Source organism: Homo sapiens, chromosome 13 (genome assembly GCF_000001405.40).
Source record: "Homo sapiens chromosome 13, GRCh38.p14 Primary Assembly".
Lineage (NCBI taxonomy): Eukaryota > Metazoa > Chordata > Mammalia > Primates > Hominidae > Homo > Homo sapiens.
The window spans coordinates 30,867,370-30,886,382 of NC_000013.11; the positions used below are offsets into that span (position 1 = coordinate 30,867,370).

The window sequence follows — 19,013 nt, forward strand, 5'->3', positions numbered from 1 at the left end:
AGTGTCATCTGAGGTCACTAATTCATATGCCTAAAGAGCCCAGGAAGGTAACATCAGTAGGTAAGCTGGCTGGAGGGGCTGAGGCCAAGTGGAGTGTGCCGGCCCTGTCCAAGGAGGCAGGCTGACCCTGCTCCAGCATGGACTGTGGCCAACTGGGGCAGAAAGGCTTGGGTTGTCATATCAACTGGTTTTTCAAAAGAAGCCAGAATTTGGGATTTTCATGTAAAACACTGGGAGTTCCAAATCAAACATGTCTACAAACCCAAAAGCATCTAGCCTGTTTGCAACCTAGTATTGGGCTACCTTCATGTTGGATTCCTCCAAACTCATTCTAGCTACATCAGGTCTCTAAGCCATTTCAAAGGATTTCCAGAGAGAGCTTGCATAGACTCCCTTAGCAAGGAAATGAAAAATCTATCAGCTCTCCAGATCTAGAAGGTTTTTTTTAAAAATTCTAATTTAGATCTTTCATGCTGCAACATAAACCACTTCTTTTTATTCTCAATCAATGGAAATGAATCAATGGAAATGATAATCATAACTCACACGGGAATTTTAAACTCAGTTGGCACTGAACAGAAGGAAACCTCTTAAATGATCCGGAGCTCTGTTCTCTCAAAGGTAGCTTGTGCTATAGAGGAGTGAGAGCAGTCGTAACTCTGGTGGGCCTGGTTCAGGTCACCACCTGCTTTGAACCTCAGTTTTCTCCTTATAAAATGGGTTTTCTCCACCTCGTGGGCCCTGTACTGTGAAGAGTGGGTACTGGCTGACTGCAGGAAGATGTTTGTCTCCTCTGGGGTCAGCTCATCTGGCTGGGAATCTCAACACCACCACTTACTCCGTGTGTGACTTTGGGCAAATTTCTTACCCTTTCTAAACCTGGGTGTCCTCATTTCATTTTTTTTTTTCTAAGACAGGGTCTTGCTCTGTCACCCAGGCTGGAGTGCAGTGGTGTGATCACAGCTCACTGCAGTCTTGAACTGTTGGGCTCAAGTGATCCTCCCACCTCAGCCTCTCAAGTAGCTGGGACCACAGGCACATGCCACCACACCTGGCTCATTTTTGAATGTTTTAGGACATGTAGCCCAGGCTGGTCTTGAACTCCTGGGCTCAAGTGATCCTCTTCCCTTGGCCTCCCAAAGTGCTGGGATTACAGGTGTGAGTCACTATGCCCAGCCTGAGTGTCTTTGTGTGTATTTGGTGGGGGTGGGGGGAAAAGTGTCACTCTGTTGCCCAGGCTGGAGTGCAGTGGCGCAATCTCCGCTTACTGCAGCCTCTGCCTCCTGGGTTCAGGGGACTGTCCTGCCTCAGCCTCCAGAGTAGCTGGAATTATAGGTATGCACCATCACGCCTGGCTAATTTTTGTATTTTTGGTAGAGATGGGGTTTCACCATGTTGGTCAGGCTGGGTCTCAAACTCCTGACCTCAAATGATCTGCCCGCCTCAGCCTCCCAAATTGCTGGGCTTACAGGTGTAAGCCACTGTGCCCAGACTGGGTGTCTTCATTTTTAAGGCAGAGGTAAAATAGTGCTTTCTCCATAGCATTGTGGAGAGGAGTAAATGGAAAGCTCTGAGTCAAAAGCTTGGCTCAGACCCCAGCCCTCAGAGGGGCTGGAAGGACTGGGCACAGTGGTGATGATGAGGAGGGAGGAGTCTAGGATGATCCCAGGTTTCTGGGTGACTGGGTGGATGAGGGAGCATTAATAAAGACAGATGATACCAGAGAAAGAACTGGGCTGGGAGACAGGTAATTTCTTCAGTTCAGTTCCTACTGAGTTGAAGTCGCCTCAGAACTTTTCAGGAGGAAAGGCCCAGTTGGAAGTTAAGAAATGGCTTTGAATACTTGGCTGGAAACAGTCTCAGCTGTAAGCAGCTGTGGCAAATGTGCATGTGTTAGGATGCCTGGAGAGAGTGTAGCTTGAGAGGACAAGAAGTGCTAAGAGGACCAAAACTCCAAACTGGGTGTTAAATGCTGAGGCAAGCCAGGAAAGACTGAGATTGTGCATCCTGAGAGGTCGAGGGAAGACCTGCAGAAAGGAGCTTCCTGGAAACCAACAGAGAAATAGAAGATAATGTTTCCATCTTCGACGGCTTTACAATCTGATGAAGGGGCAAAAACAGAAACACATGCAACAACCAAAGGACTTTCTCAAGACAAAATACCAGTGAGGACCAATTAAAGCAGCCCCAAATAGTGTGGATATGCCGGAGGACTTCAGCGAGGAGGAGACACGGGAGGCAGGCAAGGTGCACCACGGGCTGTGGAGAAGACGTACTTGAGCTGGGTTTGCAGGAAGGAATGCATCTGGGCTGGCCAGAGGCAGGGAAAGGGCATCCAGGTCACGGCTGGGCTGGAGACCAAGGTTCTGCAGGGTGGAGTCCACTCCTCCACTGTAGGGTGGAGCAAGCCCTGTTCAGAAATATAGATGGTTTCAGGCAGAAATGTAGAGGCATTTTGCTCTGATGGAGCAAATATTTTCTTCTAAATAGGGACTTTCTTCTCTCGTGTCAATTTTCTTTTTAAAATTTTCCTTTATTATTGGGCTCCATTCCTCAGCTCCTTCTGTCACTCTAGAAGCTCGTTTCCTCCTGCCTCTTCCCTTTGGGTGATATGCACACTCGAATGTCCCCAGTCAGAGGCAGACACTTTCCAGGCTGATTTTAATTCTTTAGGAGCCTGAAAGGTTGGAAAGAGCATGGAATCTGAGCCTAGGGCCCTGGTTGGAGCTGCTGCCAGTTACAAGCTGTGAAACTATAAGCAAATCATGGCATTCCACTGCGGTTGCCTCTGGAATGGAGAGGATGCTACTCTGCTCCTTCAGTCTGTGACGCATGCTATGTGAGGTCATCTAAGGGAAGCCATTAGGGAAACAGTGACAGCACAGGGGTGAGGAGCTCACATAACTCCTTGGCCTACACGGGATTGAGCTTCAGGGGCCACTGTGGGGTCGACGTCAGGGGTTCTGTGGGGTGGTCAGGGGCTCTGTCGGGTGGAGTCAGGAAGTCTGTGGGTGGAATCAGGGGCTCTTAGGGCTGGAGTCAGTGCTGTGGGGTGGAGTCAGGGCTGTGGGTAGAGTCAGGGATCTGTTGGGTGGAGTCAGGAACTCTGTGGGGTGGAGTCAGGGCTCTGTGGGGTGGAGTCAGGGCTCTGTGGGGTGTACTCAGGGCTCTCTGGGGTGAAGTCACGGCTCTGTTGGGTGGAGTCAGGGCTCTGGGTGGAGTCAGAGCTTTGTGGGTGGAGTCGGGGCTCTGTTGGGTGGAGTCAGGGGTTCTGTTTGGTGGAGTCAGGGCTCTGTGAGGTGGAGTCAGGGCTCTGTTGGGTGGAGTCAGGCATTCTGTGGGTGGAGACAGGGCTCTGTGGGTGGAGTCAGGGATTCTGTTGGGTGGAGTCAGGGCTCTGTTAAGTGGAGTCAGGGCTCTGTGGGATGTAGTCAGGGATCTCTGGGGTGAAGTCACGGCTCTGTGGAGTGGAGTCAGAGCTTTGTGGGTGGAGTCAGGAGTTCTGTTGGTTGGAGTCAGGGCTCTGTGAGGTGGACTCAGGGGCACGGAGCTTCTTATCGGAGGCTGTCTGGAGGGAGTCTGTGGTTCTGGCACGGCGATGGTTGTGGGGTAGTGAAGCTGCACTGGGGGCTGGTGCCTGCTTGCTGACTGATGAGCATTCTGGGGACTGACGTGGGGAGCAAAAGCCTACCTCTCTCTCTACCTGTTTAAGGCCCACGACATGGCTACAGAGTGGAGAAGGTGCGAAGGCCAACCTCCCTTCTGAGAGGACAGCGGGGGCCTGGGCATGTCGGCCCGGTGCTCCTTGAATCTCAGGAGAAAAGGCCTAGGACGCAGAGGGATGGTGGATGCTGGGTCCTGGCAGGTGGATAGAGGGAACCGAGACGGGTAGAAATTCCTGGAAAATGAAGAGAGCGCTATTTCAGAGGGGGAACATCTCTGAATCAGAGGAGGCAGCTGCTGACTTTTGCTGAAAGGGAAAGGAACCTTCAGGACAGCGGTGGTGGCATCAGCTGGGCCGCCTAGGGCTCCGCAGCCCTAAGCCTGCACCGGCCCTGTCCTTCCCTTGGGGCGACGGGACCTCCCCGCAGGGCCCTGCGCATGGGGACTGGGGCATGGGACAGGGCTCCGCAGAGAAGACCTGCCTGAGCCGGGCAGCTGGGCCCACCAAGGCCGCCAGACAGCCCAAACCCTTCCCAGGCTGCAGGGAGGCCCCAGCTGGTGTGGCCTCAAACCGGCATCTGTTTCTTCACTCCTGGGGCTCCCTTTGAACTTGAACCTTGCAAAGCCCAAGTAACAATAAAAAAGCCAAGGAACAGGTGCTGCTGCAGAGGACGGAGGACAGGCCGGCTGGGAGCCTCAGGGGGTGTCGCCTTTGTTTCAGCGCCTTCAGTCTCCCCGCTTCCGCATGAAACTGCTCGGGACCCACGTCAGCGCCAAGTTCCAACAAGGAAAATATAGCAGCGCACAATATGTTGTTTTGGCAGAAAGCTATGAATTTTAGTATGGAATGTCTGTCACAGGGCCCATCCAATTAACTCACTTGTCGAGAAATCAGAATAAATAGTTGAGAGGAGGCGACTGCAGCTTTGCTCAGACCTTTATTTCTCATTTGTTTTCATGGTTAAGCAGGTCTGCAGTCACCAGGATGTATATTTAGGGCAGGGAAGGAGAGAATACGCATCTTCACGGTGGTTCTCCCTTTGGAGGGAAAGAAGGGTATTTTCTATGCATTTTGGAGGAGGGAATTCTGGTGAGCTTCTGTTTTAGAAAAGTGTTATGGAGGCAACCCTGGCAAACTCCCTCGAGTTTTGGACTCAGTGCTGTTGAGTCTGAGACAAGGACTGGGCCCTACCAGAGAAGTTTCTCTTCCTCCTTAGGTTATCCACGGTGGCTGGTGAGCATGGCTGTGCCGGGTGAGTGGGTGGGCAGCCCAACCTGACCCCACATCTCAGCCTGGGCCGAGCTTCCTGACGGGGAGGACACCGGGTGCTCTGGGTTAGCAATGGCAGCTGGCACTTGGGGGTGCTGGCATCCCTCCCAGGGTGCCTGCCATGCCCAGAAACTTAAACATTTGTGTGGACTCCCTGTAAGAAGCCCTGCTGCATAGTTGAGGCCCTTGGGAAAGAAGCACCTCAGCTATTCAGCAACGGGGCTTCTTTACGAGGGCACCGGCCATGCTTGTGCTTGTCCTGTGTGAATTCCCAGGGGCAGGAGCTCATTGCAGCCCCGGGCAGGGTGCTCTCCTTGTTCCACAAATTGCCAATTATGATTTACAGACATTCAGCGGATAAAACTCTGGGCAGAGAGTGACTCTTTTCTTTGAGGAGTCTTCTTGTGGCTCTCTGAATTTAGAGCCTTGCTACAGCAGAGATGAAACCCAAAGCCGGTTTATAACACCCTGCATTCCTGAGTTTTGAAGGAACCTAATGTGAGCCAGTTTTATGTAGCCAGAGGGACAGCCAGGGGAATACATTTCAGCTGCCCAAGAAAAAACTTGGCCTGTAGCTCCCCCACACCTTTTTCCAGCCCAGGGCTTCTGAAAACCACCCTCTCTCTAATCCCAAGGGCCCCAGCCTCCCCTTTTAAGTATTCACACTCTGGGGGTGGGGTGCAGGGGTTTATTTACATCAATATTTCTCCAATAGTGGGGCAAGAACCCAATCCAAGGCAAAAACATTTTTTGACCTTTGCTCTCATGAGCAAAGTGCCCCCAAGTAATGAGGATCTGGAAGAAGGGAAGGGCACGTTCTCTGTAGCCTGCCATCCACATCCCAGGCTGTCAGTCAGGAGGCAAAGGCATAGTCTTTAAGGGCTGCAGACTAAGTTCATCTTTGTGCTCCCGTGCTGCTTCCATTTCAAAGGCTTCGCCAGCGAATCCCGTGAGTCATTCCTGGAACCTTCAGGAGTCTCCATGGTGATGGGGTTGAGTGGGCCTGGGGGAAGCCAGCATTCACTCCACTTCCTAACAAGTTCCTCTTTTCTGATTTTTTTTTCTTTTTTTTCAATAGAGACTGGGGCTGAGGCTTGAGCTTTTTTGTTTTTTTAAACAAATCACAAAATAAGAACTCCCTAAGCCTTCTTTCCCCATTTTTTTGGAAACCCATTCTAGATAAATATATAATCTATTCTTACTTGCCTCTGTTGAGACCATATAAAACAACAAAGCACAACAAAAACTGTGCATTTGCTTTCTTTTTTTTTTTTTCTTTTCCTGCAAGTGTTTTCAGAAGGGATCTGGTTTTCTTGTTTTCCTCAGTGAAAAGATGAAAAGGCTCTGGGTAACTGATTGTAGCCTGAAGCAGAGATGCCGGCAGCATCAAGCCCAGAGGAAGGCAGGCCTGTCTAGCCTACTACCGCCCCTGTGGAGGTCTACCAGGAGCCTGAAAATTATGCCCAGTCATGGTTGGCAGAACTGTGCATATTCTTATAATCCCCACCTCTCCTTCATTCTGAAATGCTCTGGAAAAGCGTAGTATCTGGGGTTTGTTAGGGAACGAGCATTAACGTTACCATTTTAGGTACAGGAAAATGTAGCTAAATCTACAGGCATCTATGGGATTTTCCACATGGTACCAAAAATTAAAATTTGAAACCAATCTAATGTGAATTGATGAACATAAATAATCTTTGGGGGTATAAATTCTGTGTCAAATTCCATAATGGTGTGTGGCCCCAAAGTTCCCACACCTGAGGGTGAAAATGAGTTTTCAGTAACATTGAAAACTTGAATTCTGCTGACTTCGTTATCCCCTCAGGTTGAAGCAGGACGTGCAGCTTCCTGAGGTTCTGCCCCCAGATTTCTGGGGGTCTTGGGGGCATCTCGCATGTGCTCCACTCTGGAGAGTGCAGCCAATCTCTGCTGGTAGCTTAGAGTGCCAAAGCCTTGCCCGGGGCTGGGGAGGAGGTGGGGAACAGCTTTCTCTGCTGTGTTAGTCGCTGTGTGGGGCCCCACAGCAAGGCTGCTTGAGCCTTCATTGACCAGCTATCTAGTTTTTGCTTCCAGTCTGCTCTATCCTCCCTCAGCCCCAGCCTTGCCCCTCCAGGAGCACGCCAGGTTAAAGCCACATCTTTGTATTTGGAATCCTACTTTGCTCTGACAACTGAGGCTTTTCTAACAGGTCAAGCTCACCAAATCTCATTCTGGGTTCTTACAGCGTGGTTTCTTAAGCTGTGAAACCTTTTCAAAAGATGATAAAAGCCCCAGAAATTCTCTCAGAAAAGTGAACATATAGGTAACATTTCACAGACAAGCTCAGGAGTTTCTGGGCCTTCGGGAGAGAATCCTTCCTCACAGGAATTTTCTCTCGAGAACTTTCTCAGCCCTTGCTCTGGATGTCAGTCCAGCCTGGCTCGCTACTGAGCCTGATACACTCAGTCACAGCAGAAGCCTCACGATGGGTGTGTCCCAGGCCACGCTGAGGCTGTCACAACACACAGAGTGGTTTTCAAAGCCCATATTCCACATGTGCGGTCAACAAATAAGTGTGCAAAAAATATGGCTTTCTACTCAAGCCTGTTCTTCAAGACCTCTCAAAAAGCTCTGCTTGGAAAAAATGGAGTATCAAGGCCTGATTTCAAATCCCAGGGAGCCCAGGAGTCCAGTACCTGGAGTTGGAGGATCCAAAACGGAGTGGCCTGGGAAAAGACATGTGTGGGAGTCCTAATCTAACTTGGATTTTCAAAAATTCACACAAGTAAATTTTTCTGCCTATTGTTTTGCTGGTAGTGAAGTAGTTTTTGCTCTGTTGCCTAGGCTGGAGTGCAGTGGTGCCATCAGAAGTCACTGCAGACTCAAACTCCTGGGCTCAAGTGATCCTCCCACCTCAGCCTCCAGAGTATCTGAGACTACAGGCTCATGCCACCTTACCAGGCTAATTTTTTTGTTTTTATTTTTTTTGTAGAGACAAGGTCTTGCTATGTTGCCCAGGCTGGTCTTGAACTCCTGGATGCAAGCAATCCCCCTGTCTTGGCCTCCCAAGGTGCTGGGATTACAGGTATGAGTTTCAGATAAGTAACTTACCTCTAACTTGTCCCCCTCTGCATATTGTCCTTCAGCAACTAGATATCGGGATGCTATTTGTATTAGTTTCCCAGGACTGCTGTAACAAATTACCCCAAACTTGGTGACTTAAAACAACCAAAATTTATTCTCCCACAGTTCCGGAGGCCAGATGTTTGAAATAAATTTGTCGGCTGGGCTGTGTTCCTCTGAAGGTTCTAGCAGGGACCTTTACTGGCCTCGTCCAACTTCTGGTGGCTCCAGTTATTTGGTGGCTACGGCTGCATCACCCAGCCTCTGCCTCCATCTTCTTACAGCCTTCTCCTCCTCCCTGTGTGTGGCTCTTCCATTTGTCCCATAGAATGCTTGTCACTGGATTTAGGGTTCACCTGGCTAATCTAGGATGATTTCATCTAAAAATCCTTAGCTTACTTATATCCACAAAGACTTTTTTTTCCAAAGAAGGTTACATTCACAGCTTCCAAGGATTAGGGTGTGGGTATATATTTCAGGGGCCACCATTTAACCCACCACAGTATTGCTCATTTACATCTCTAGCATCTAATAGTGCCTGGCATGCAGAGTTTAACAGTCACTCATGTATTTGTTTTTGATGGTTTAGATTTAAACTTGGACCCAGGCACTCTATCTGCTCCATTCCCAGATCTGAATAAAGGGTGGTATGAGTTTGCAATAAAATCAATATCTTTGACACTCCTTGACTATGAAATAAGCCACTAGGCTAATTAGGGTAAATAGTTTCTTGCTTTCCATAGGGATTTCTGTTAGAGTATTTTATGCTATGGTTTCAACTTATCACATGCTAAGGATGCAGGAATCACATAAGCATAAGGCAAATATGTTTGAAGGTCTTTTTTCTCCCTGAGACCCTCAATGTCTGATAACAAATTGGATTTTATTTATGAGATAAACTTTCACGTATGTATTTCATAATATTTATGAGGATACAAAGATAAGTATTTACAGGAGTACAACTATATATGTAGATGATTTTATTTCCATCATGTGGCATTTCATTGACACCTAATACTGACTTCCAAGTGTCCGTTTAGACGATATGCATACAAAGGAAATGACATGCTTTTTCTTCCTTTAAAAATATAGCTGATGTGATGCTCCTAATAGAGAGTAAATGAATATAATCAAGTTTTCCCTACTTTGGAGTACAAATTTTAAGCTTTTATATTAAAACCTATTTATGCCTAGTGTTCCATTATTGGAACACTAAGCATGTGGGAGTTATTTATGTCTTACTGCTCAAGGTCATCACCAGGGTCTGATTTTTCACACTCAAAAAATTGCAACCTCAGGCATAAATGGGTTAAAATGTACTATGACGTATCTCCAACTTCATCCTGGAATGGTTTTATCTGACAGGTTTAATAGTGGCAATGAGAATAAGTCTGGCTGGGCGCGGTGGCTCACGCCTGTAATCCCAGCACTTTGGGAGGCCGAGGCGGGTGGATCACGAGGTCAGGAGATGGAGACCATCCTGGCTAACACGGTGAAACCCCGTCTCTACTAAAAATACAAAAAATTAGCCGGGTATAGTGGTGGGCACCTGTAGTCCCAGCTACTCGGGAGGCTGAGGCAGGAGAATGGCGTGAGCCCGGGAGGTGGAGCTTGCAGTGAGCAGAGATTGTGCCACTGCCCTCCAGCCTGGGCGACAGAGTGAGACTCTGTCTCAAAAAAAAAAAAAAAAAAAAGAAGGATAAGTCTGACTTTGCCAGCAGGAAATTTTAAAAACAACCTCTCCCTGTGTATGTAACTCACATGGTATATACCTTATAATTCATGTGGCTGGCCATATTTTATTTATGAAATATTTGGAATCTGGAATCCAAAATCAGGGAAGGTGCAGATTCTTTGTTCCCTATTCATAGTGGAAATTAGTTCAAGTTGCTTTATTTTTAGCATTGCCATTCCACATTATTTTAAAGATAAGACTTTTGGGGTGACACTTTATTATTATTTTTATGTGTTTATTCATTTTTCCAATAATCAAGAAACAGAAAAATCAGAAGAAAGCCAGAGAAAAAGTGAGTTTCCTGTCTGCAGTGCTCAAAGCATACCACACACATTAGGAAATGACAGAAATGCACAAGCTAGACATCCAGCCAATCAAAACACATTGCCCAGAACGGTCAAGTTTAAATGGGATCATGCATTCCAAGTCTTGAAGTTTAAGACACATTAACATTAAGCCTTTCAACTTCACATAGTAATACAATCCAGCAACAACACAGCATCAATCAACAAAATCAGACTAAAAGAAAGAGCTTGTGCTTCCCCCAAGGGAGCCCTGTAGACAGATTGCACCTCAAAGTTGAAAGGACAGTTAAGCCTTCTCCTTGTTGCTTTCTCTGTTCTGGGACCACTTTGCAGTTTTCCTTCTTTCTGAATATGTTTTATCTCAGGTACAAATAGGTTGGCTCTTCTGCAAAAGACTAGCCAACTAGTCTACCACAGAGTTAGTTAAGTCTCATTATTTCGAATAAATTTGTGTTTTATTTTTAAACTCATTGACAACTCTATGTGTTTTTAATTAACTTCTTTGACTTCAGTTGTTTGAAATCCAAAAGTGGGCTTGGATAAAAATTAGCTTTATCAGTTTATGCCAGTGTGTGTTTAACCAGGTTTTTTCTTTACTATACATTAACTCCAGATAGATGGGGACTATTTGTTCATCAAAGGCTGGCTTTTCCTGCATATCTCTGTGGCAGACACTAGTTGGGTTACCTTGTGCAAAACGGCTCACACCAAATAGGGTTGTGGGAAGAACTGACACTTCCAAAACCAACTATGGTTGCAATTGTAAACAAGTGTCAAAGAGCCCGCATTCTTTATAAAGCTTAGCTAGGCATTGAGATGTAGGCTTTTAAAATATGACTTATTTGTGGGTTTGTTTTGGTTTTTTGTTTGTTGGTTTTGAGACAGGTTCTCACTCTGTTGCCTGGGCTGGAGTGCAGTGGCACTATCACGGCTCACTCTAGCCTCAACCTGTTGGGCTGAAGTAATCCTCCCACTTCAGTCTCCTGAGTAGCTAGGACTACAGTTGTGTGCCACCACACCCAGCTAATTATGTTTTGTTTTTTGTTTTTGTAGAGATGGGGTTTCTCCATGTTGCCCAGACTGTTCTGGAATTCCTGGGCGCAGGTGCTCCTCCTGCCTCAGCCTCCCAAAGTGTTGGGATTACAGGTGTCAGCCACCATGCCTGGCCACAATATGACTTCTTAAGCACCGTTAATACACCTAAGTGTTGGGCCCTATCTTTCAATTTGCCAGATACAGGGTGGTCATATAATTTATTGTCCATGCAAGGATCTTGAGAATGGTTAGGGTTGCTAACCCGATGGGTTGCCAGGACATCTGGTGTAAACCTGGACATCCATATATATGGGACTCTTCTGCCCCATGTGCCACTACCAAGTGTTTTTGAAGGTGTGTTGAAAATATTGCTAAATTTCACCTGCTAATTGTTCTGATGAATCTATGAATTTTTTTTCATCCTGGAATCATCCATGACTTCCTACTTGATCCATCAGATATCAGTATCTCACTATTTCTGGACCCCAGGACACTTTTCCACCACGAAGTTCTTTTCCTGCTTACAGTGCTACTGTCTGTTTCCCATCTCTGTTCGTGGAGATCCTAGTGATTCTTTGGGACCTAACTCAGCAGGATCTCTTCCAACACTTTAGCTTCCACAGGGCTGTATTTGTATCCTCCTTAGGGCACTCACCTCTTTCGGTTTTGTTATATTTTTATGTGTTGTATCATTTTTCATTACTTAACTGAAAGAAGGAACCAACCACAAAGCTGCACCTCTACATTACACATTGAATGTGAGCCCCTTGTTTTAGCTACTTCTTACGTGTTTGGTGAATTGTTTTTAAAAGTGTGGTAGGAAATAAACATCCAAGAAGGTAGAAAGCCTTGTTGTATTTGGCAAGGAACAGGCCGATGCTACTGCTGGATTTGAATGCCAGCTTCTCCAATTAAGAGCTGTGCAATCTTGTGCAAGTCACTTAACCTCTTGGCGGCCTGTAAAATGGGGATGATAATAGTACCTACCTCCTAAGATACTGAGTATTTAATGTTGCCAGGCACTGTCCTCACAGAACAGTGCTTGGCAAACAGTGCCTGGCAAGACTAAATACTCAATATCTCAGCTATTTTTATTGTTCAGACTTCATTTCCCTATTTTTTGAGGTTTTATTCACATTTTTGAATTGTATTGCAAATAAAAGAAAACCAAGAGCTATCGGCATGTGTAATGGAGGGAGGCCTAATGGCCACCTCCGTCAGGCACACCAGCAATATCCACTGAGAACTAATGCCTTGGTGACCCAAAGGTCACTTGATGGGACAGAATAAAATGTCCTCTTGACTTGAAGAGCCAACCAGGCCAACCCCAACCTCTCAACTTGAAATCAGAGAGTTGAGGTGCTGGTTCTCTGCACATCTGTAGAATAGGGACCATAAGAGTACCTACCTCATGGGCTTACAGTAAAGATGTAATGAGATCATCTATGTAAAGCACTGATCATAGTTTCTAGTACCTGCTCTACATTTGCTGTTGTTCACAGCATCTGTCCTGGAACATGAGTTGATTGTTGAGAGAGGTGTGGTGGGTGTTCTGGGGAAGATATCCTCATATTTCCTCCAGCCATCAGGAACCTCATGGCTAGCTCCATCAGGAGAAGCTCAGCAAGAGAGTGAGAATGCAAGCCTCTCGTTTTTTTATTAGAAATGGTGATTAGGAGACTGCCTTCCCCTCTCTGCGAGCATCCAGTGCAGGAGGGCCAATATCTACAGCTGCAAGGATGATCAGCTTGATGCTGAGGCAAGAGTTATGATTAGCAACAGAAGTGGCAAATTAAGTTCACTGACTAGCAGGCTGGGAAGAGCCAAGAAATCTGTATTAATCACCAAGGACAGAACATGAGCTCTTTGAGACTCTGCAGGGAGAAAAGAGGCTGAAAGTACCCACAGTACTTCTGGAAGGGGGCTCAGAACCAGTGAGTTTTCATTAGCATGGCTATTGCATCCTACAACCCTGGAGTCACTCACCCAGACTATAGTGACCTAAAGAACTCAGGGTTACACACAGCACAGAGCCACTGTCCCAGGGAAAGAAGTTTCTTTGCTTCCAGGCGCCTCTGTACCTAACTGTTACTGTTCTTTTCCCAGGGTCCCCAAAGAAGAGAATTCCACCAACTTTTCTTGGCATTCTCTGCCAATAATTAGCAATTTTTTCTTTATGTTTATCCTTATTAATGCCTATTCCTGTTCAGCTGTGCTCATGGAAAGATAGCCAGTGTGTTTTGCACTTTCCCAGGCAAGCACATCTCAGAGTCCAAATGGCACAGTTGCCTTCAGTTAATTTTCACTTAGATCTTAACCTTCTGAGTTTATTTCCACTTGAACTCTGGGTATTAAAGTAGAAATAATGCTTTGTGACCTTTAAGCGGGACACCAGCTGCTTCTCCACCCTTTCCCCTGTGGTTTAGTGACCCACACAGTCCAGTTCTGCAATAGCCTTGTTTCTGGAGTTCTAACCTCCTTCCCAGCAGGGAATGACTAATGCTTAAAGCCACGCATTACACGAAGGTTTACCAGGCAGAGCAAATAAATGGTCATCGGAGACATGCTTTCAAACAGAGATCTCTGTTCTTGGCATGAAGGTTAAGGTTAGTGAAAAAAAGTCCCACCTCTGCCCCTTTCTGTTCAGTTCCACCCCTTTATCTTCCCAAGGACATGATGAGAAAGATTTTAAAAGTGATCACAGTGGTTTATCTTCATGACATGGGCAGATTTCCATGAGTCCTGTGATTCAGTGACACTCTGAGGAACCCATGACTGTGGGGTGGGCTTGGAACAAACTCACTGTTGGCAGAAGCTGTCCACTTCCCCCATTTTTTGCTCTGGCAAAAATAGATTTCAATGGCAGCTTAGGAAGGGGCCGCAGTGGGGAAGAGGTTGTGGTAAGAGAACATTCTTTCCCATTCTCCAAATCTTCCAAACCAAGCTTTGCTCCATGGGACCACTTCACCCAGAAGTCTGGGCTGGAGCTCAGGCTCTGACACTGTCATGGCTCCCAGCTTGATGGATGGGAGGAGGCAGGGAGCTGGGTTTCCAGCCAGGAACTAAGGGAACTCTACGCTCCTACAGTCCCTTTACTTACTGGGATGGTGTTCACCGCCTCTGCCCACTGAGCCTGCCAAAACAATCTGTCACAGCCAAGCCCAATCACTCCCCATTCCCTGCTCCAAAAAAGAAGAAACCTTGCTGCAGCTTCATAGACATTTGGTCAATCTGCAATAATAAAAAATAGAGGTAGTGGGGCATGGGGAGAGGGAAAGAAGAGAGGCTGGGGGCTGGTGATGGGACAAGTTGAGTTTGGAGCTGCAGAGTGGGAAACTATGGGATGGGCTGGGAATACACAGGGGAGGATGCCTCCTTAAAGTAGGCTTCGGACTATGTATATGGATCCCCTTTGGGCTTTGGGATAATTAGTGAAAGATCAGAGTTATCTTGAAATTCCTTTTGTTTACAAGACTGCATGTTTGGCTGCTCTATGGGGGTCCTGGCTGTGTAAAGGTCACACGTGTAAGTGGATTATGGGCTCATTCATCTCCACAGGGCAAGCTGGAGAAGTTTTTCTTGACTCACTGGAAACAGAAGTAAAAGGCTGAGGAAGGCATTGCGGGGTGGTTGTATCACACAGGCGATGGTGAAAAGTGGAGGTGATGTGGTAGGGAGGAAGACATCTGTGTTTGCTATTGACTTTCTATTTCTTCTGCCAGGGAGCCTGGCATCCGGGTCTCCTGTTGCCCAGCAGTGGAGCAGTCACTTCATTTCACTGTGTCTCACAGTTGTCTCTGCTGTTGGCAACTGGATGTGGGAGGGAACAGTGAAGAGACTACTAAAGTTTAATGTCCTTTTTATGACCAACTTTTGTTGCTGGCACCTTCCTCTTGGAAAAAATACACTGATTTATGACTGAACCATCCCTACACACGGAAATCAAATCATTCTTTCTGTCTCTTAGCTTATTTTTGTTTAGAGGAGCGGATGGCTTCCATAGGCTGTTCAGAAAATGGCTGGGACAAATCGGAGTAAAAAAACTTAAAAGTTTTTATTTCTGTCTCTTTCTCCCCACAGAGGAGTTTGAAATTCTTGCTTCAGGCCATATGGAGTGGATATTCCTTCCAGAAGGAAATTACAGACCACTCTCTGTTTCTACTCAACTGCTTTTCACTCCGTAAGTGGACTCTTTGAAGCAGCCTTTTATTTACCTCAGATTCTGACATGAATAATTGTTTAATTGCCTTTCAGCCTACACAAGATAAGGAACCATGTCTCAAAAATTGTATAATTCTCTTAACTAAACAATAGCCAAGCCATCCGGAGTAGTTTTCAAAGGAAAAAAGAATTCCTCACATATGTTAAGCATTTTATTCTTTTCAAAATGCATTGCTCTGTATTATTTCGCTAAATTGGATAACGTATACGAAAGCACTGTGTAAATTACATCACATAACAAAAAAGTGAAATGTTATAACAATGATCGATTTGATTTTCCATGTGGGAAACTGAGGCTTTACGGGAGTAAGTTACAATCCCAAATCACAGCAGTTAAACGGAGCCCAGACAGTGGTCTGTCTTCTACTTCCGGATGTGCTCTCTCCTCTGCAGAGGATGCTTCACCTCTTGGGGCCTTCCCCAGCAGAGGCCCAGGATCACCTGCAAAAGGCTTCCCCAAGGGTGGGGCCAGAAGCAGGGCTGCAGATATGTGTCCTGAACCTCCCATGGACCCTGCTGGCTCCCTTCAAAGGCTTCGGGCATAGCGACTTGCCTTTCCGTCTTGTTCAGTCGTCACCAGTCAGCCGTCTGCAGACTTCTCTCCCTCACGTTGTGGCAGAGGAGTTGTACATTCTCTAGATTTTAAAAATATATAAGTTACTTTTTCTTTAAAATAAAAATTGTCTCTGAAATAAGCTCCCAATACATTTGCGTATTTTTAAAACGTGTTAGCAAATTCTCATAATAGGATTTGCGTTTGTTAGAAGAGGACTGGGGCAGAAATCACAGAGGAATGAAGCACCTGCCACTCCCTCACCCCTCAGTGGGTGCAGCCCACCCAGGGAGGCAGCAGGATACAAGGTGGAGGAGTACCCCGATACCCAAGAACCCCATGCAAAGGATAGAGCAGCCTGAGAGCAGGGGCAGGATACCAGAGGGAAGGGCTCAGGAGGGTTTCAAATGTATCAAAGGACACAATCAACAGAGTGAAGGGGCAACCCAAGGAGAATCAAAGAAAATATTTGCAAATCATATATCTGATAAGGGATTGATATCCAGAATATATAAAGAACTCCTGGCCAAGCACAGTGGCTCATGCTTGTAATTCCAACACTTTGGGAGGCAGAGATGGGAGGATTGCTTGAAGCAAGGAGTTCAAGACCAGCCTGGGAAACAAAGTAGGACTCCATCTCTACAAAAAGAAAAAAAATAATTAGCTGGATGTGGTAGTGCACACCTGTAGTCCCCACTACTTGGGAGGCTGAGGTCCGGATTGCTTGAGACCAGGAGCCCGGAGGCTGCGGTGAGCTCTGATCTCACCACTGTACTCCAGCTGAGCTGATACAGTGAGACCCCGTCTCTAAAAAAAAAAAATTAAATATTTAAAAATAAGAACTCCTGCAACTCAACAACAACAAAGTCAGTCCAAATAAAAAATGGGCAAAGGACTTGAATAGACATTTGTCCAAAGATAATATGTATACAAATGGTCAATAAGCATATGAAAAGATGCTCAGCATCACTAATCAATCATTAGGAAAATGCAAATCAAAATCACAATGAGATACCACTTCACACTCATTAGGAAGGCTACTAATGAAAAAAAAAAATAGAAAATAACAAGTGTTGGATATTGAGAAACTGGAAGCCGGATGCATTGGGAATGGGCAGGAATGTAAAATGGTGCAGCCACTATGGAAAACAATATGGTGGTGCCTCAACAAATTAAACATAGAATTACCATATGTTTCAGCAATTCCAAAGAAACATCATTCTCTGGGGTAAACACCTGAGGTTCGCCATCTCATGCCAAGGATATCGAGTATGCAGACACACAGGAAGTGGGTTTAGGAGCAGAGGTTTAATAGGCAAAAGAAAGAGAAAAGAAAACAGCTCTCTCTTCTGCGAGAGAGAGAAGGGCACCTGAGTGGGAGTTCCGGCTGGTCGTGGAGTGCACAGGGTTTTATAGAAAGGCTTGAGGAGGCGGTGTCTGATTTACATAGGGCCCAAAGATTGGTTGGACCTAGTGTGATGTTTACATAGCTTGAGGGAAGCTGGCTTCCCCACCCTAATCTTATGCAAATGGGCTATTTGCCTGACGAGCTCCATGTTGTCTGCCCCCTGCTGCACATGTGGTTGGCAAGGAAAAGGGAAGATGAAACTGCCATTTTGAACATGCCTATTTCCCAGGTAACCCCTTTCCTATTGGCACAACTGCCAGCATTCACCTGTGCAAACTTCTAGCCTGCCTTTCTATGTCTGCAGCTTGATTTTACTGGCCACCCTTTGTTAGAAAAGAAAATGATTTGGCGGCTGCTTTTCATTAAAAGGAAAACCTTACTGAGGACTTCCTTACCCTCACTATCTGCCTAAATAATGTCTTTTTAACTCCTACATCATTTCCACTTCTGGGTATATACCCAGAAAAGTGAAAGCAATGACTCAGACAGATAGTTATACATCCATGTTCATAGCAACATTATTCACAGTAGTCAAAGGGTGGAAGCAACCCAAGTGTCCATTAGCAGATAAATAGATAAGTAAAATGGGGTCCATATAATGGAAAATATTCAGCCTTAAAAAGGAAGGAAGATCTGACACATGCTATCACATGGATTAACCTTGAAGACATTATGCTAAGTGAAATAAGCCAGACACAAACGAACAAATATTGTATTGTAGACCAAAAATAAAATTATAAGGCCCCCCCAGTCATCTGAAAGAACCCCTCCTCTCAGCCAAGGGCACTCCAAAGTTAACCTGAAGAACTTGTTCAGGTCATCACGGGAAGGTGGGGTGGGACATTCCTCATTATACCCTCCTCCCATTTGGAATTCAGAAACAGCCAGCCAGCATTAACATCAACACAGACCTTAAGTCTGATAAGAAACATTTACAACCTATTCTCTTTGGAGCCTGCTACTTGGAGGCTTCATCTGCATGATAAAACCCTGGTCTCCACAAGGACATTTACCCAGATGTTCCTTTTTTTTTTTTTTTTTTGAGATGAAGTCTTGCTCTATTGTCCAGGCTGGAGTGCAGTGGCATTATCTTGGCCCACTGCAGCTTCTGCCTCCTGTGTTCAAGCGATCCTCCCACCTCAGCCTCCCAAGTAGCTGGGATTACAAGCATACGCCACCATGCCTGGCTAATTTTTGAATTTTTAGTAGAGACGGGTTTCACCATTTGTCCAGGCTGGTCTCAAACTCCTGGTCTCAAGTGATCCACCCCTCTCCGCCACCCAAAGTGCTGGGTTTACAGGCGTGAGCCACCGCGCCCCACCAGACATTCCTTTTTATGATAATAACTCTTTCAACCAATTGCCGATCAAAAAATCTTTAAATCTACCTATGACTTAGAAGCTCCCCCACCAACCCTAACCTTCTACCCTCACCTTGCTTTGACTTGTCCTGCTCTTCTAGATGGAACCAAAGTAAATTTTACATATACTGATTGATGTATTATGTCTCCCAAAAATGTATAAAAACAAGCTGTATCTCAACCACCCAGGATGCAAGCCATCAGGACCTCCTGAGGCTGTGTCATGGGCATGTCTTCAAATACTTTTTTTTTTTTTTTTTTTGAGACAGAGTCTTGCTTGCTCTGTCACTCAGGCTGGATGCAGTGATGTGATCTCGGCTCACTGCAACCTCCACCTCCCGGGTTCAAGCGATTCTTCTGC

General features: G+C 46.1%; 2 long non-coding RNA genes across 2 annotated transcripts in view, besides 4 other annotated features; one reads left to right on the forward strand and one right to left on the reverse strand.

The window, feature by feature from the left end:
• Positions 3,681–4,490: an enhancer, noted in NCBI's record as "H3K4me1 hESC enhancer chr13:31445187-31445996 (GRCh37/hg19 assembly coordinates)". NCBI's record gives its function as "activates a minimal SCP1, AML or CMV promoter by ChIP-STARR-seq in primed H9 embryonic stem cells {active_cell/tissue: H9 hESC(primed)}" and the evidence as "EXISTENCE:reporter gene assay evidence [ECO:0000049][PMID:30033119]".
• Positions 4,491–5,300: an enhancer, noted in NCBI's record as "H3K27ac-H3K4me1 hESC enhancer chr13:31445997-31446806 (GRCh37/hg19 assembly coordinates)". NCBI's record gives its function as "activates a minimal SCP1, AML or CMV promoter by ChIP-STARR-seq in primed H9 embryonic stem cells {active_cell/tissue: H9 hESC(primed)}" and the evidence as "EXISTENCE:reporter gene assay evidence [ECO:0000049][PMID:30033119]".
• Positions 4,857–4,906: an enhancer, noted in NCBI's record as "active region_7547". NCBI's record gives its function as "activates an Ori minimal core promoter by ATAC-STARR-seq in GM12878 lymphoblastoid cells {active_cell/tissue: GM12878}" and the evidence as "EXISTENCE:reporter gene assay evidence [ECO:0000049][PMID:35858748]".
• LINC00545 (long intergenic non-protein coding RNA 545) lies at positions 15,193–16,026 on the forward strand. Its single transcript, NR_103813.1, has 2 exons — positions 15,193–15,290; positions 15,725–16,026. It is a non-coding gene; the product is annotated as a long intergenic non-protein coding RNA 545 (long non-coding RNA).
• The window catches only part of TEX26-AS1 (TEX26 antisense RNA 1), a 49,774-nt gene continuing 46,226 nt past the window's right edge, over positions 15,466–19,013 (reverse strand). Inside the window, exons 3-4 of the long non-coding RNA NR_038287.1 lie at positions 16,569–16,691; positions 15,466–15,966 (exon numbers count right to left, since the gene is read on the reverse strand). This is a non-coding gene — a long non-coding RNA (TEX26 antisense RNA 1). The remainder of the gene's footprint in view (positions 15,967–16,568; positions 16,692–19,013) is intronic.
• Positions 17,940–18,511: an enhancer, noted in NCBI's record as "NANOG hESC enhancer chr13:31459446-31460017 (GRCh37/hg19 assembly coordinates)". NCBI's record gives its function as "activates a minimal SCP1, AML or CMV promoter by ChIP-STARR-seq in primed H9 embryonic stem cells {active_cell/tissue: H9 hESC(primed)}" and the evidence as "EXISTENCE:reporter gene assay evidence [ECO:0000049][PMID:30033119]".